The sequence below is a fragment of the Homo sapiens genome, chromosome 1 (assembly GCF_000001405.40).
Source record: "Homo sapiens chromosome 1, GRCh38.p14 Primary Assembly".
NCBI classification, from domain to species: Eukaryota; Metazoa; Chordata; class Mammalia; order Primates; family Hominidae; genus Homo; species Homo sapiens.
The window spans coordinates 56071168-56085994 of NC_000001.11; the positions used below are offsets into that span (position 1 = coordinate 56071168).

General features: G+C 38.5%; 1 long non-coding RNA gene across 4 annotated transcripts in view, besides 1 other annotated feature; it reads right to left on the reverse strand.

Moving 5' to 3' along the window:
- Positions 1-14827, reverse strand: part of LOC105378741 (uncharacterized) — a 74511-nt gene that overhangs the window by 20189 nt on the left and 39495 nt on the right. The gene's annotated exons all lie outside the window — the stretch shown is intronic.
- Positions 8558-9757: an enhancer, noted in NCBI's record as "P300/CBP strongly-dependent group 1 enhancer chr1:56545398-56546597 (GRCh37/hg19 assembly coordinates)". NCBI's record gives its function as "activates an origin of replication core promoter dependent on BRD2, BRD4, P300/CBP, MED14 and CDK7 cofactors, with strong dependence on P300/CBP, by STARR-seq in HCT116 cells {active_cell/tissue: HCT116}" and the evidence as "EXISTENCE:reporter gene assay evidence [ECO:0000049][PMID:35650434]".

Below are 14827 nucleotides of genomic sequence, written 5' to 3' on the forward strand. Positions count from 1 at the left end.
ACTCTACTAATTTCACTCTCTCATCTATAAAATGAAAATAATAATAACCAGCCTCACAGGAATTTTTTAGATAGATAGTTTTTTAAAAAGTCATTGAATATCTGTTTATCACTGTATAATTTGCTAAAATCTTTCAATTACATTAGCATTAGTCTTACCTAGCACAAGAAAGACACTCAACAGATATTTGTTGAATAGCATGTAAATTGGTGATATTATAGTTTGATGGATTCTGAGTCGTTAAGGTATCTATCACACCTCTGAACTTAGTTTTCTTTATTTATAATGTGTATTCAACTGTATCTCTTTTTAGGGTTGTTGTAAGAGATAAAGAAAATAACATACATGAAGTATCAGTTTCGGGCACTTTGGTGTGTACTTGAGAAAGAGGTTTCCTTTTCTCTGATCGCTTCTTCTTTCAGAGCTTCATTCTTCTCATTCAACAGAATTGGTCATAATTATAACATTCTACTTGTTGAGGAGATAGCTGTGGGGCAAAGAGAACAGGGGGGCCAAGCTTTGGTCCTAATTTTCCATCTTCCCAGTTGTGTGAACTTTGACAATTTGGGGGAGTCTGTTTCCCCATTTGAAAAATAAGGAGCTTGTCTAGATCTGAAGTTCCCAAATTTTTGAAGTTTATAGAGCAAACAAACAAATAAACAAACAACAACAACAACAACAACAAAAGACCAGTACCAACCAGGAGCCTAACATAACATGGTCAATTTTTTGATCTGAGAAATAGATTTTTGAAAAATAACTGTCACTTACCATTACAATCATTTCAAATTAAAGGACAAGGAACTCCAAAAAAGAAAAAAAAGAAAAATTATGAAATATAAGACATGACTCTAAAATGATTACATTAACCTCATGGGGAAAGATGCTGAATCGTCTTATTGTCCTTATTTTTTTCTCATTTTTCCACAGACCTGTGAAAACTTGTTGTGGACCAACATGGGTCTTCAGAGTAGTACTTGGGAACCTGTACTGTTCTGTATTGTGGACCAACATGGGTCTTCAGAGTAGCACTTGGGAACCACTGGGATGCATGACATGGAAGGGCTCTTCTAGCACTATGTCCTGTGATTCTATCATAATTCCACCATGGTGAAAAGCTGGGATACTTAAACAACAGTTTGTTTAGGTGAAATCAGTAAAACAATGATCTGATTCAGCTAAGAAGCTGATCCCTGAAGTCATTTTGCTGAACTGAATGACTCTAGATCTTGATAGGAAGTATAATTTAGTCAAAACAATCTAAATTGTTATGTGTGGATTGACACATATGAGTTGTTCCCGCAGGTCTTCAAAATACTTCCTTGCCCCTAATGAGGCTGACTCAGGCTTTGTTCCCCACCAACTATAAATTGATAAGTATCACACTTGTACCTACCTACATCAAAATGAGAGAGATATGTGAGTGAGCCAAACATATCCAAAGCATTCCTAATTCAGGCACTATGTGCTCACCCTGAGGTTAGCTTCTCTGACACCTTCCACTCTCTAATCTTGAGCCAAAATATGTCTCTACACTCTACTGTGGTGATCTCAAAGTCCCTGTATGAATGCCTCATATTTTATCACCAAAATTCTAAATAGAGACTCTCTGTTTCATGGTTAGCACTCATTTCTACCAAGCTTGATCATCTGAGGTGGACCAAATTAGAAATAGGCAAGCAAAATAGAGGTAGGAGAAGCTATTAATACAGGTCAGGAAGAGATTAGTTTTGGCTGGGTGCTGTGGCTCACAGCTGTAATCCTAGCATTTTGGGAAGCTGAGGTGGGCGGATCACTTGAGGTCAGGAGTTTGAGACCAGCCTGGCCAACATGGTGAATTTCCATCTCAACTAAAAATAGAAAAATCAGCTGGGCATAGTGGAAGGCACCTGTAATCTCAGCTACTTGGCAGGCTGAGGCAGGAGAATCACTTGAACCCAGGAGGCAGAAGTTGCAGTGAGCTGAGATTGCACCACTGCACTCCATCCTGGGCAACAGAGTGAGACTCCATCTCAAAAATAAATAAATAAACAAATATAGACAGGTCAGGAGTTGTGGGTTGTGGCTTTGCTTGACTTCACAGAAGAAAGAGAGAAAAATCAAACAGAACTAACTGTAAGCTACTGAGGACAATAATAGATGTTCATATCTTTGGTTCTAAGTCATCAAGAAAAGTTTAAACTATGTACAAGAACCTTCTCAAGGAAGCAGATAATTCATTGAGATAGATGCTTGGGGGTGAGGGCAAACCTCAGCTATCAGGAAATTCATCTCAAGTTAGCAAACGTGAATTCTCCTGTGATCCTAGGGTAATGAAGTAGTAACAGCAATAGAAACAACCATAATAATGGCTGGCTACTGCATTGTACTCTGCCTCTTAGGAGTACTTCCATTTTCTCATTTAATATTCAGATCAACCCCATGAGGAACAAATAATAATTTTTATTATCCACTCATTTCTCCAAGTGAGGAAATCAAAGCTCAGCTTGGTTAAGTAGCTTGCCAAGACAGCAGAGCTAGTCAGTGGCAGAGTAAGAATGCAAACCCTAGTCTTCTAACTTGAAGCCCAGTGCATTTCCCACCCTCTGATCTTCTCTCATCCTTATAAATAGCCATAAGACTAAGTAGTTCAAAAATATCTTCTTTCTGGTTCTCAGGCCCATTACAAATGCCACTTGCCCTGGGTAGGAAAATAAAGCCCAAGCTCTTTGCTGGACTATGTGCTAAGTCCTTGGCGCCCAGAAATAACCTCCTGGAGACTATGGGCCTTATATTTACCGCAAAGCAGTGGGTAAATAACTAGTTGGTGTTTTAGTGTTTTGTGGTCACTTAATCTGTTGTGTTGCTTCCCAAGACTCTGAAGGTTTCCTTTTTCAGTTAATTCTTATTTACGTTTCTGAGGTCTGTGTTGTTTTGGGTTTGGTTCATTGGATGTTTTTCTTGGAATGTGTTGCCATTGGCTTCAGGATGTTCCTGCTCTGCTATTTCATGGAATTTTCCCCGAGTGTGGATTGCTATGTATTTCTTCGGGGCAGTGAGCCAAGGCAGTGCTGGTATGTAATCTGTTCCTCTGGCCAGAAGACTTCTTGTCACCCATCCACATGGTGCTTGGTTGTATTTCTCCACTGATAATTCCCCTCCATCTGTTAATGTGCAGGAACCTTGGACTTCAGCCATCTTGTGTGTTGTGCGTTATTGGCTCTGGATAAGACAAGGCCAGTTGCTTCTGATAGAGATTGTGTCAACTGATTCTACCAGTTTGTTCTATCAGCCCAGGGTTGGGGAAGGAGATAGATGCCAAGTGTCATAGAAAGAGTGGAGAAGGCTCACAGGGTTAATGCTATAGACAAAGCAAGAATTTGTGATTGAAAACGTCCAGCCCTTCACACAGCCCTATGCCCCAGTAGGAGAAGAGCCAGGAATGCCAGGTGCATTGAAAACACCACACTCTCCCATGGCTCTCAGCGAGCCTTTCTTCCTTTGTCTTTGACAATCCAATACAAAGTATGTGCCAAAGAAAAATAAGAATTTGTTCCATATCAGAAAGTTTCGTTCTTTGGATATTTTCTTTGTGGGTAAAAATAAAATATTAGAAAGGTCAAATAGTGTTTGTTCAATAAAATGGTATGCTTCCCAAGGCTTTCAGCCTAATTAAGATACAAAGCACACATTGAGGCAGAAAGTTGCCCTCGATAAATTCTTTGTTTGGCTATTTTATTTATCGTACTTCATTCCATTGTTTTGTGTGTTGTATATCTTACTCTTTCCATAAGGAATTTGTGATAGCTTACAAAAATGTGTCAATAAAAAATAAAATATCTTTAAATCACTGGAAGCATCAAGGTGAATGGATAATATTAAAGATATGAATAAGATTAGGGTTAGTATTTCATAACAGATAACCCTGTAAAATTGTTAAAAGCGATTCATCAAATTGACTAAAAAAATCCTACCGTTTATCACTTGAAGTGTGCTGTGGCTCTCTAATCTATAGGTAGTCTAAATTGGGTGCATTTAAGAATCTGCACAGTTTGATTTTAATTTGGAGGTGAAAGAGGCCAACTCTAATCCCCACATTGACTTCACATGCACTGGCGCACATCTGAAGGTCAACAGTTTTCATATTTGCAAAGAGACAAGAGGAGAACTAATACTTACTAGGTACCTAATACATATTAGGCATTGTACCAATAATTTGACATTTAATAATTCATTGATATTCTCAACCACTCTATGAGATAATAATTACCTCCATTGGACAGATAACATAAGCAAAGCTGAGTAACTTGGGCAAGTGTACTCAACTAGTAGGGACAAAACTAAGATCAACACAGGTATATTTGACCTCAAAGTCAACGTTCTTCTCATACTGTGCCTGACAGACAGGTAAGAGGGTATGGAATATGCTTCCCCCAGTTGATGAGTGTCGAAACTCTCAAACAAACGTGGTTTATTCTGAGCTTGCCCTCAAGCTGTAGGTTGACCAGGAAATAAGTATAAGTTCAAAGCAGATCACAGTGTTTGGAAGTTAAGGTCAACAGAAAGACATATCTGTGGTTATGACACTATACACTGCCATACAAATGTCCTCCAACCATTCCAGAGAGAACATAGGTAAGTTCCTCCAAATTGAAGACATTCATAAAAATAAAAGAATAAGAAGCTATAGTTGTATATGGAATGAGCAGTCATATTAATCAGACAGAGAATGGCTATGGTGTTTGTTGTACCTTCCAGTCAGAGCAAACCAGTAACATTAGAAATCTTTGTGGTCTCCAAAATTCTTGCATCTCTGACCCTTCTCAAGTGTCATCCTCTCTATTTTTCCCCATTTTCCCTTCCTGGCAAACTCCTACTTATTCCACAATTTCTCAAATGCCACTTCTGCAACGACTTTTCTCTGTCTCTCATATGACCTTAAAGAGCTCTCTTTTCTGTGCAGTTACTAAAGTTAGGTACATCCACATCATACAAATTCATTACTATAATTTTGTATGCTTCCCCCAGTTCCTATTGGATAGTGAACAAATATATGACAAAATATATATTTTCATCTTCTAATTTCTAGTTAGATTATTTAATTTTTAAAACAACTTTTGAAAGTAGCAATTTTTACTATTCTCATTTTACAGATGAGGAAAATGAGATATAAAAGTATAGAGTAACTTGTTCAGTTATAAAGCAAGTACATGGCAGACTTATACCCAAGCAGGGTGGTTCCAGAATCCTTACTATATAAATATCCTCATCAGACCTGTCTGAACCCCAGTCTTCTATTTCTTACTCTTCTTCCAGAGAAGGTTCTTCTAATCCTCTTCTCCCAACATCCCCACCTCTTCTCTCATCACAACTTGATTTCTTCCTCCCACAAAGTATGTTGACTCCCACCTAATTATGGAGACTAATACGGAGTTAGCTGGAGCCCTATCCTGGCTCCAGGGTCCAAGTGCTCCTCTTACAACCCTCAGGCTACTCAGTATACAAAGGACTCTCCAGCTATGAGGGCCCACCCATCATGGGAGGGAGTGGGGGTTTATAAATAAAAATTATAATATTAATAAAACATCTGCTTCAGGTTGAGCTCAAAAGAAACCAGACTCTGAATTGAAGATTAACATATAGGACTTTACTGGGGAGCTCTTGCATACTTAATTGGGATGATACTTGTGGAAAGGGAAGAGAAAAATGCAGGGTGGGCAGAGTGAGAAGCTGAGCTGTGATATATAGCTCCAACAAAGGCCTCAGCTTACCCCATGGGGAGTTCTGGTGTTGGTATGGTCTTTCAGAATTATACCAATTTGGGATACAGTGGCCAGGCCATAGATCAGTCATAGGAGGCAGGTTGACTCTCAAGAGGAGGTGTGACCTTGACTAAGGAGGGCTGAAACTGAGGGCTGTCTTCAGCATCCCTTCCTGCAGCTGGGGAAGTTAAGTCCTCCATTCCTGAAAGGAGACAGGGGTTCCATGTGGCCATAACAGCATCTATCCAACATCCCATCCTTTAAACACCCAGCATCCTAATATTCTAAGCACTTTAGCAAGGCAATTAAAGCAATTAAGGCTTAGCAACGTAAAGTAACTTGGCAGAGGTTACATAGACAGTAGCAACTGAGTTGGTACTGGAACTCAAGCCTGGCTGATTGCAAAGCCTATGTTCCTTCTCCACATCAACTTATCTCCCTCTGGCACATTATAAATTGTATGACAGCATGTATGTGGTAATCTTTTGAAGACCAGAAATACACACTCATAGAACTGATCTCTTTCCAGAACTGCACTCTTCCATCATCCCCCAAACAAGCAATTCCCTCTGAGCCCACACACCCTCTTGCTCTCATTTTCCACATGTTTACTTGGATGTAGTCGCCAATTACATACTAGGCAGATGTCATCTGGAAAAGAAGCCACAGTCATTGTCAAAGAAAAGTTAAAACTGCTCTCAAATTGGACTTGATGTCTAGTCTGGTCTACAGTTGAGGCTACTTTGCCTTTAAAAAAATATTAGCAATCTTTCCCAGAATGTGGTTCATGAATCCTTTGGGTAAAACTATAGGTACCTTAGCAGGAATCGAGGCAGTGACAATAAACTTTATTAGTAGTTATTGTATTATTTAACACATGCACTCACAGTTAAAAAACAGAAATAAAAACAAAAGTCAATTTCACTTAAAAATGTCCTTACTAAGCATTAAAAAAAATAATTTTATTACTTGAAAGAGCAACTGACAAACTATGGTTATTCATATGGTATATGTCATAAGTTTTCTCAAAAATGAATGAAAAGACCCTGCCCCTTGAAGGAAAACAACTCATGGCATTCTCTGCCAATGATTAAATTCACATTTTCAAGCAAAAACTAAAATTTTGGAAAACTTGTATCTGCCTTCAGGAGCTTGACATCATACTAATACTTACAGATTTTCTGATGATGTAGACTTCTGGTGAAGCTAAGAAGTGTGATTTTTTGTTATTGTACAAAGAAATGAGTCAACATTTTGAAGATCTGCATAACTCAGTGAACTGATATTTTTCCATATAGCCAGTGCAGAATGTTACAAAACTAGGTGTAGGCAAAAATAATCCATTCAAATTAAAAGATACACCAAGTGGATTTCAATGTAGTAGAATACAAAAAGCGCATTGATGTGGCTTTATATTTCACATTGCAAGTAATCTTTTTTTTTTTTTTTTGAGATGGAGTCTTGCTCTGTCACTCAGGTTGGAGTGCAGTGGTGCAATCTCAGCTCACTGCAAGCTCCGCCTCCCGGGTTCACACCATTCTTATGCCTCAGCCTCCCAAGTAGCTGGGACTACAGGCACCCGCCACCATGCCCAGCTAATTTTTTATATTTTTAGTAGAGACGGGGTTTCACTGTGTTAGCCAGGATGGTCTCAATCTCCTGACCTCGTGATCTGCCTGCCTCGGCCTCCCAAAGTACTGGGATTACAGGCGTGAGCCACTGCACCCGGCCACATTGCAAGTAATCTTTAAGGAATTACCACTTGCCAAGTTTTGGTGTAGTATCAAAGAATACCAATAATTATCTAAAAAGGTTTTAAAAATATTAATTTTATACCCAACTATATATTTGTGTGAGGCTGGATTTTTCCATAGACTTCAGACAATATATTGCACAGATTCTGGCTGCAAAAGTAGATATGAGAATCTAGCTGTCTTCTATTAAGTCAGACATTAAAGAAATTTGCAAAAATATAAAACAATGCTACACTGTTCACTGTTTTTAAAGAAAATATAGTTATCATAAAAATGTTATTTTGTAAGTGTGTAATGATGTATTGTTATATTAAAATAAATTAATATTTAAAAATAATGTTTCAGTTTTAATTTCTAATGTAAATAGATATTACCTACATAAACAAAATTGCTTTTAATTCTGTTATCACTAGAGAGAGCGTACATAAACAAAAGCACTTTGGGTTGCTCAATAATTTTCAAGAGTGTAAGGGGTTCTTGAGACCCAAAAAAAATTGAAAACCACTAGTCTAGGATCGCTCAGTCAACATCGAGTAGAGGTAGGATTTTTTTCCAAGTGAATTATTTAAAATACTGAATGGATAAGTGGAATAAACACTTTTTAAAATAATTTAATGGAAAAAGAATGAAGTATTTGAGTATGTGGGAAGAGTCCAAGAGCATATTGGCTAAGGCTGACTGCATGAAGATAATGAATCTTGAATATGAAAATATGAGGACTACAAGATGCCTTAAGGGAGGAAGAATATGACTTATTCAGTATGTACCAATGACAGGCACATGGTACCTGCCTATGATTCTCACAATGGTTAGAAGAGCCAGATACTGTCATTCCCTTTTCTCACAGAAAGCATTGAGGCTCAGGGAAGTTCCATGACAAAGAGTGCATGTGGCATAGCTGGGAGCTGATCCCTGAGAGATCTGATTCCATATTGTTCCTGTCTGTTCCCCCACACTATGCTACTTCCCATCTGGTCCCCAACCCCTCCTCACTCCTTATTTTAAGAAGGAGGAAGTGAAATTTAGAGAGGAAAAATAACATATGGAAGCCACAGAAGGAATTAGTGGCAGAATCAGACCCTGAAAGTATCTTCTGGGGCTCCCCAGACGGTGCTTTTTCCGTTGCCCCATGCAGTGTCAGGCCACGTCCCCTTGGAGTAGAAGAGATCTTTCAGGGTGGGCTACATGGTCCCTGACACTGAAAACTGAGGGTCCCAAGACAAATTTAAGGAGAATTCTTTTCTGTGAAAGGAAGTTTGAACATCCATACAGTAAGGCGGATGATTCTTCCACAGCAACTGAAAGAAAAAAAATACAAGAGAAAGGCCGAAGTAAAGTTTTTAGTCATGGTGAAGCACTCTTGCTCTTTCTCTGACTGTAATTCCATTAAACAAACGTTTATGAAGCACCTTCCGTAGGTTGGATATTGTGTTAGCTGGAACATCACGCTGGCTGTTGAAGCTTCAGGGAGGAATCACAGATATTTCCAATGCTGGAGAGTCTCACAGTATTGTGGGAGACACCAAAGGAAGCAGAATTCCAATGTGGAATGCGTCATCAAAGCTCAGATAGGAAAAGCCCAAGGTGGTATGGAAATCTAGAAGATAAATCTAACCCATTCTGGGCCTGATAATATGGCATCTGAGACCAGTCTCAAATGACTCATTAGAATTAACTAGTAGAGGAAGGAGAGAAGGCAGAAGGAACAGTATGTGTCACACACCCAGGGTGTGACTTCCTGAAGAACTGAAAAATATTCCCGTATGACCGGAGGCAGAACGTGAGTTATAGCTTATAATGCCTTGCGAGTTGGCAACTGCCCCTCCCACTCTTGGATTCTATAGTTGGTCTTATTGAAATATCTTAAGTTCAGGTTTTAAATATTTTTTAAAACCCCATGAATTTATCATTGCTATCTTCTTGTACCTCTACAAGTCTGGAGAGCCCTGGCTGGGGATCAGTGGACCAGAGACTATAATTTTCTGAGTTTGCCCTAGGGAGCTATTACCACCGATATTTCTGCACATCATCTCACCCAGTGCCTGGCCCACAGTAGGTGCCCTATAAATGTTTAATGAAGCAGTAAATGGTGTTTCTCCTCTACTTCTGCTTGTTTCTTTTTTCTATTATCTTTCTTCCAGCTGCTGTAGAGGAAGAATCAGCACCCCACTCTGCATGCTCAAACTTCCTTCCTTCAGATAGATTTTTCTCTCTCTTTGTCTTAGGATCCTCAGTTCTCAGGCCTGGGGATGGGATATAACCCACCTGCAAATTTGCTCCCACTCGGTGGGGAGGGGTCTCAGTCCTTGACAGCTGATGGAAACCTTGGTACATCACATTTTTTACATCTATACCCAACTTACCAACAATTCCTTGAGGACAGGGAATCTCTGAATTTTTCATCTCTGAATTTCTACTATAGACCAAAGAAGAGTTTATTTAATGAGGAAGAAAGGAAGGAAAAGAAGTAAAGTTTTAGCCATAATGAAGTCCTCCTGCTTTTTCTCTGCTGTAACTGCTACCCAGATACTCTGCTAAAACTGCAATGACATCTTTTCTTTCCCACATGGACAAGTTTGTCATGACTCTTGTGTTTATATTTCCCAACCCACTCTGATTCAGAGGAAAAAAATAAAGAGGACTCCATAGGAAAGCGCAAAGCCCAAACAGCAGAAGGCCGGGTGTGGGGAAGATGCTGAGTGTGGGAGTCAGCTTCCAGCCGCAAGCAGATGCTGGATCCTTCTCTCCAGTTCTTCCTTGATTTCGTTTCCTCCCCACTGCAGCCAAGATACATCCTGAGCTGTGACAGCTGATGGAAACCGGGCAGAGGAACCCATGGAAAAGTCTGCAGAGGCAGGATGAGTCTTGAGCCAGGTCTTTCCAAAACCCAAAATGAAGGTGACTGTGAGGGACTTTCAGCTGCCGCTAAGATGATAAAGTTACCACCATTTCCTCCAGTGTCTGGTTAAGTCTTCTCTGAAATTTTGCTTCATCAATCATCTCCTCTTTGAGCTCTAACCTTTCCTTTTCTTCTGCAGCATATAAACCTAATTGAATCTCTTTCAGCCAAAAGGAATGTCTTTTAAAAAAATACTATCACCAACGACAAAAAATGAAAAATTAAATGTGTTTCTGAATCTCCATTTATCTTTTATCAAATTTCTTTTCTTTCCCATCCAATTTTTTTAAAGAGTTGTTTACAGTCTCTGGCTCTATTTCCTTATTCCTCATTGACTTTTCCATTCCCTCTGCCTCTTCTTCCTCTCTCCAAATCATCAATTCCATTTTGCACATTTCTGTCTTTAGCTTATTTGACATCTTGGCAACATTCGATCCTCTTGGCCATTCCTTCTTTTCCATTGTCATACTTAGACTTTTCAGAACTATTCTCTGCTAATTTTTTCTCTCTCTGGCCAATCTTTCTCAGAGCTTCTCACTGCTTCCCTTGCTCTCCCCTGTAATATTGATGTTTCTTATATTTATATTTTTCTTGGTCCAGTTTATTTCTTCTCTCTCCTCATTTAAGAAACATTTTTGAGTACTTTCTATATACCAATCATTGTTCTAGGTAACTGAGGATTAGCATATAAATTCACAGTCCTTTGGAGATTGGAGTATAGAGGGGAGCACAGGATTTCCCGTTTAACCACTGTTACTAGAAAATTTAATCTTTATCCATCACTTCACCTGCCATCAATATGCTCCTAAATTTATAATCTAGGTTTCAATTCTGAATTTAAGCCTGTGTTCCAGACTCATACTGCCACCCACCTACCTTGTACGTTATTTCCATTACATTTAGGAACTGGATCAATTTTGTTTATTTAAATTAAATTAATTTCTTTCAGGAAACCTATTCCTTTTATTTCCCATCTCTGTTAATGGCATCATCACACAACCAGCCATTTAAACCCTAAACTTTGTAGACATTTAAGAGTCTGCTGTTTTCCCCCCATTCTTCAACCAAATCAATTTCCAAGCCATAGGGATATCACCTCCTAAACATTTCTTGCTTCTATACCTCCCCTTTGCAACAAATTTGTGAAAACCTACTCAGGTCACCATCATTGCTTCCTTCCCTTTTTAATAAGCACCTATTAGCCCTATATCAATTTATCCCTATACAGAATGAACTTTCTAACATAAAATAATTGATCATGTTGCTGACCTGCTTAAAACCCTCCAATTGTTCCTTGCTGCCCAAGTAAAGGCAAAACTATTACCAGCTAGCAATGTCCTCCATGTTCTAGACATTCCATGATCAGGGCCTTGCTAACATTTTAGCCATATTTCCCCAACCCCTTCCTGCAGAACCATATAACCCAATGCTACAATCAAACTGTGATTTTTAGAGTTATTCAATAGAGGTGTCTCATCCTTATGTCTCAGTGACATTGCAAAAACTCTTCCCTCTTCCTGAGACACCATACCTTTTCTTTCTTCTTTTAGACTGCTCTGTTATTCTTCATTATTCAGCTCTTTGGCTAAAGTCTTTTCTTACTCCATCAAGCATAAGTAATTTATTTCTTATAACATTTTGCATTTATTTAATTTGCAGCAACAATCATATTTTTAGAAACTATTTGCTTTGATTTTTAAGCTCATAAAAGTTATAAATTATACAGTTTTTCTGTTTTATTCTCTGCTCTGCACATGGCACATATCATTGATGCTACAAAAATGTGTTTATATAATAAGCCCTGGAAACCAAACTCTTTCTTATGGATTCATTTTAATTTGCTAGGATTTTAATTTCACAGTGTCATTTTTATTTTGTCATCTGGCGGGCAATATTCTTCAAGTGTATATCATCAATGGATACAAAATGTTTTCACTAAAATTGAACCTGTCACTGGTGAGTGCCCAACCTGATAACGGAAGAGGTCATTGCTGAGCTCCTAATGTGGCATTATTTCTGGGGGATCGGCTGGTCATCTAGTAGCAGGTTGATTATCTTGAACCCATCTCATCATGATGGGGGCACTATTTATTCTGATAGGGATAAACATATATTCCAGGTAAAGATTTTCCTTCTCTGCCTGCATACTTATAACAGCTCTACTTTTTGTGGTCTTACAGAATAACTTATGTATTGTTATAATGTCCAGTATAATTTTGCTTCCAACTAATGAAAATATTTCATAACAAAGAAAGCGAGACAGTGGGTTCCCACTCATAGAATTCACTAGCATTACCATGTGCCCCATTGCTCAGATATAGCTGGCTTGACAAAATGATAGAATGGCCTAATAAAGGCTCTCTTTTGGCACCAGGTAGAAGACAACATCCTATAGAAAAAGTTTTGCTTGCCAAATCACCACCCTGGGCTCAGAAAGCTTGGGTTCCTACTGCTCCGAGGAAGAAATACTTCCACCAGAGAAAAAGTTCTATTTCTGTTGAATGAAAAGCTGAGACTACCTCTCCCCCATATGTTAAGTCTTCTTGAGCTGCTGAACCAACAGAGAAGAGTGTCACTGTTCCAGCAGAAGTATTCAATCCCAATTACCAGATGTAAATTGGGGTGCTACTACTACATTACAGTGGTGAATAAGGCTGTGTCTGGAGTTCAGGGGGCCCTTTGGGGTACTTCTTGCTCTCCTTTGAATAGTCCTATTCAATGGAAAACTATACATCACTCAAAACAGGATCTTCAATGACTTAGATATCATAAGAGTAATGATTTGGATTACTTCCATAAATAAAAAATGTCATCCAGCTGTAGGCCCTGGCCTAGGGTGGCTTTTGTAGAGCTAAGGACCGACAGTGGCTATTCTTGGCTGGCTCAAAGGACACAGGCAAACAGCTGACCACAGGGTTAGGTTACAAGATAGCAAAAAGAAGAGAGTGTTATTCTCTCAAGTTGCTAAGGACATTTCCAATATGATAATTTTTCTCCATATAGTAACAAAGAGAACTTAATCATCTGTGAACTAGACCAAGAGGGGGAAATGGGTATTAACTTGAAAGAAAAATATGTCAAGAAGCAAACCCTTTTTCTCAACCCCTCCACAAACTTTCTGTGGTCTTCTCCATTCTATAACAATGTCCTAGTGCACTCTATTGTTTAAGTTACAAATTCAGGGACGTCTTTTGCCTTTTCCTGTCCTCACCTAAAGTTGAGGGAGCCTGGCATACTGCAACAATCCAGACCGACAGACTTGGGTTCAAATTGCAGCTCCAATACTTTAGAGGGCTGTGACCTTGGACAACATATGTTCCATTTCTTACTCTCAATTTCTTCATCTGTAAAATGGAAATAATGATACCTAATAAGTCTTAATTAGGGACAATATGAAACAACTAATATATTGAACTGGCATGACTTGTAGAACAATTAAACACAACTTTATTTCCCATCATCCCTTTAAAATGTTTTAAGTGGATGTGATCTTCTCATTCTCCTTGATGAAAGAAAAAGTGCACATCCCACAAGTTTTTATTTTTTTCTTTTTGTCTTAGGTGATAGATAGTCCCAAAGTTCTGTAAGAAACAGAACCTGATTCCTTAGAGACATCAAACAAGGGGAAAAAACAAAAATAATTAGGCCTGGGGAAAAATAAAAAATATATAACTATCATATTTGAAAATTATGTAAGTATTGATAGGAAGCCTAAAATAATCTATCGACCATTTTTTAGAAATAATAAGATGTTTTTAAAATGTGGCTGACCGTAGTGGCTCATGCCTGTAATCCCAGAACTTCGGGAGGCCGAGGCAGGCAGATCCCCTGAGGTCAGGAGTTTGAGACCAGCCTGGCCAACATGGCAAAACCCCTGTCTCTACTAAAAATACAAAAATTAGCCAGGCGTGGTGGTGAGTGTCTGTAATCCCAACTACTCAGGAAGGTAAGGCAGGAGAATCTTGTGGAGGTTGCAGTGAGCCAAGATCACAGCACTGCACTCCAGCCTTGGTTGATGACAGAGCAAGACTCCATAGCAAAAAATAATAAATAAATAAATAAATAATTTTAAAAGGTGGCTGCTTATAAGATCAACATATAAAAGTTAATTCTTATAAACCTCCAGAATACATAAAGCACTCATATGAAACAATAAGGTAAGGCCAAATATCTATAAAATATAACTTACATGAAGACTTAAATTAATGAAGAGCTATACCATATTCATAGAAAGACTATTATAAATACGTTAACTCTCTCCATATTGATCTATAAATTTAATACATTTCCAATTAAAGTTCCATTATAATGTTCTGAGAAAACTGACTCCCTAATTCTAAACTATATATGGAAGAGTGAAGGTCAAATAATAACTAAGATGCTTTCAAAGTGGGAGAATATCCTCTATTAGTTATCAAAACTCATTATAAAGT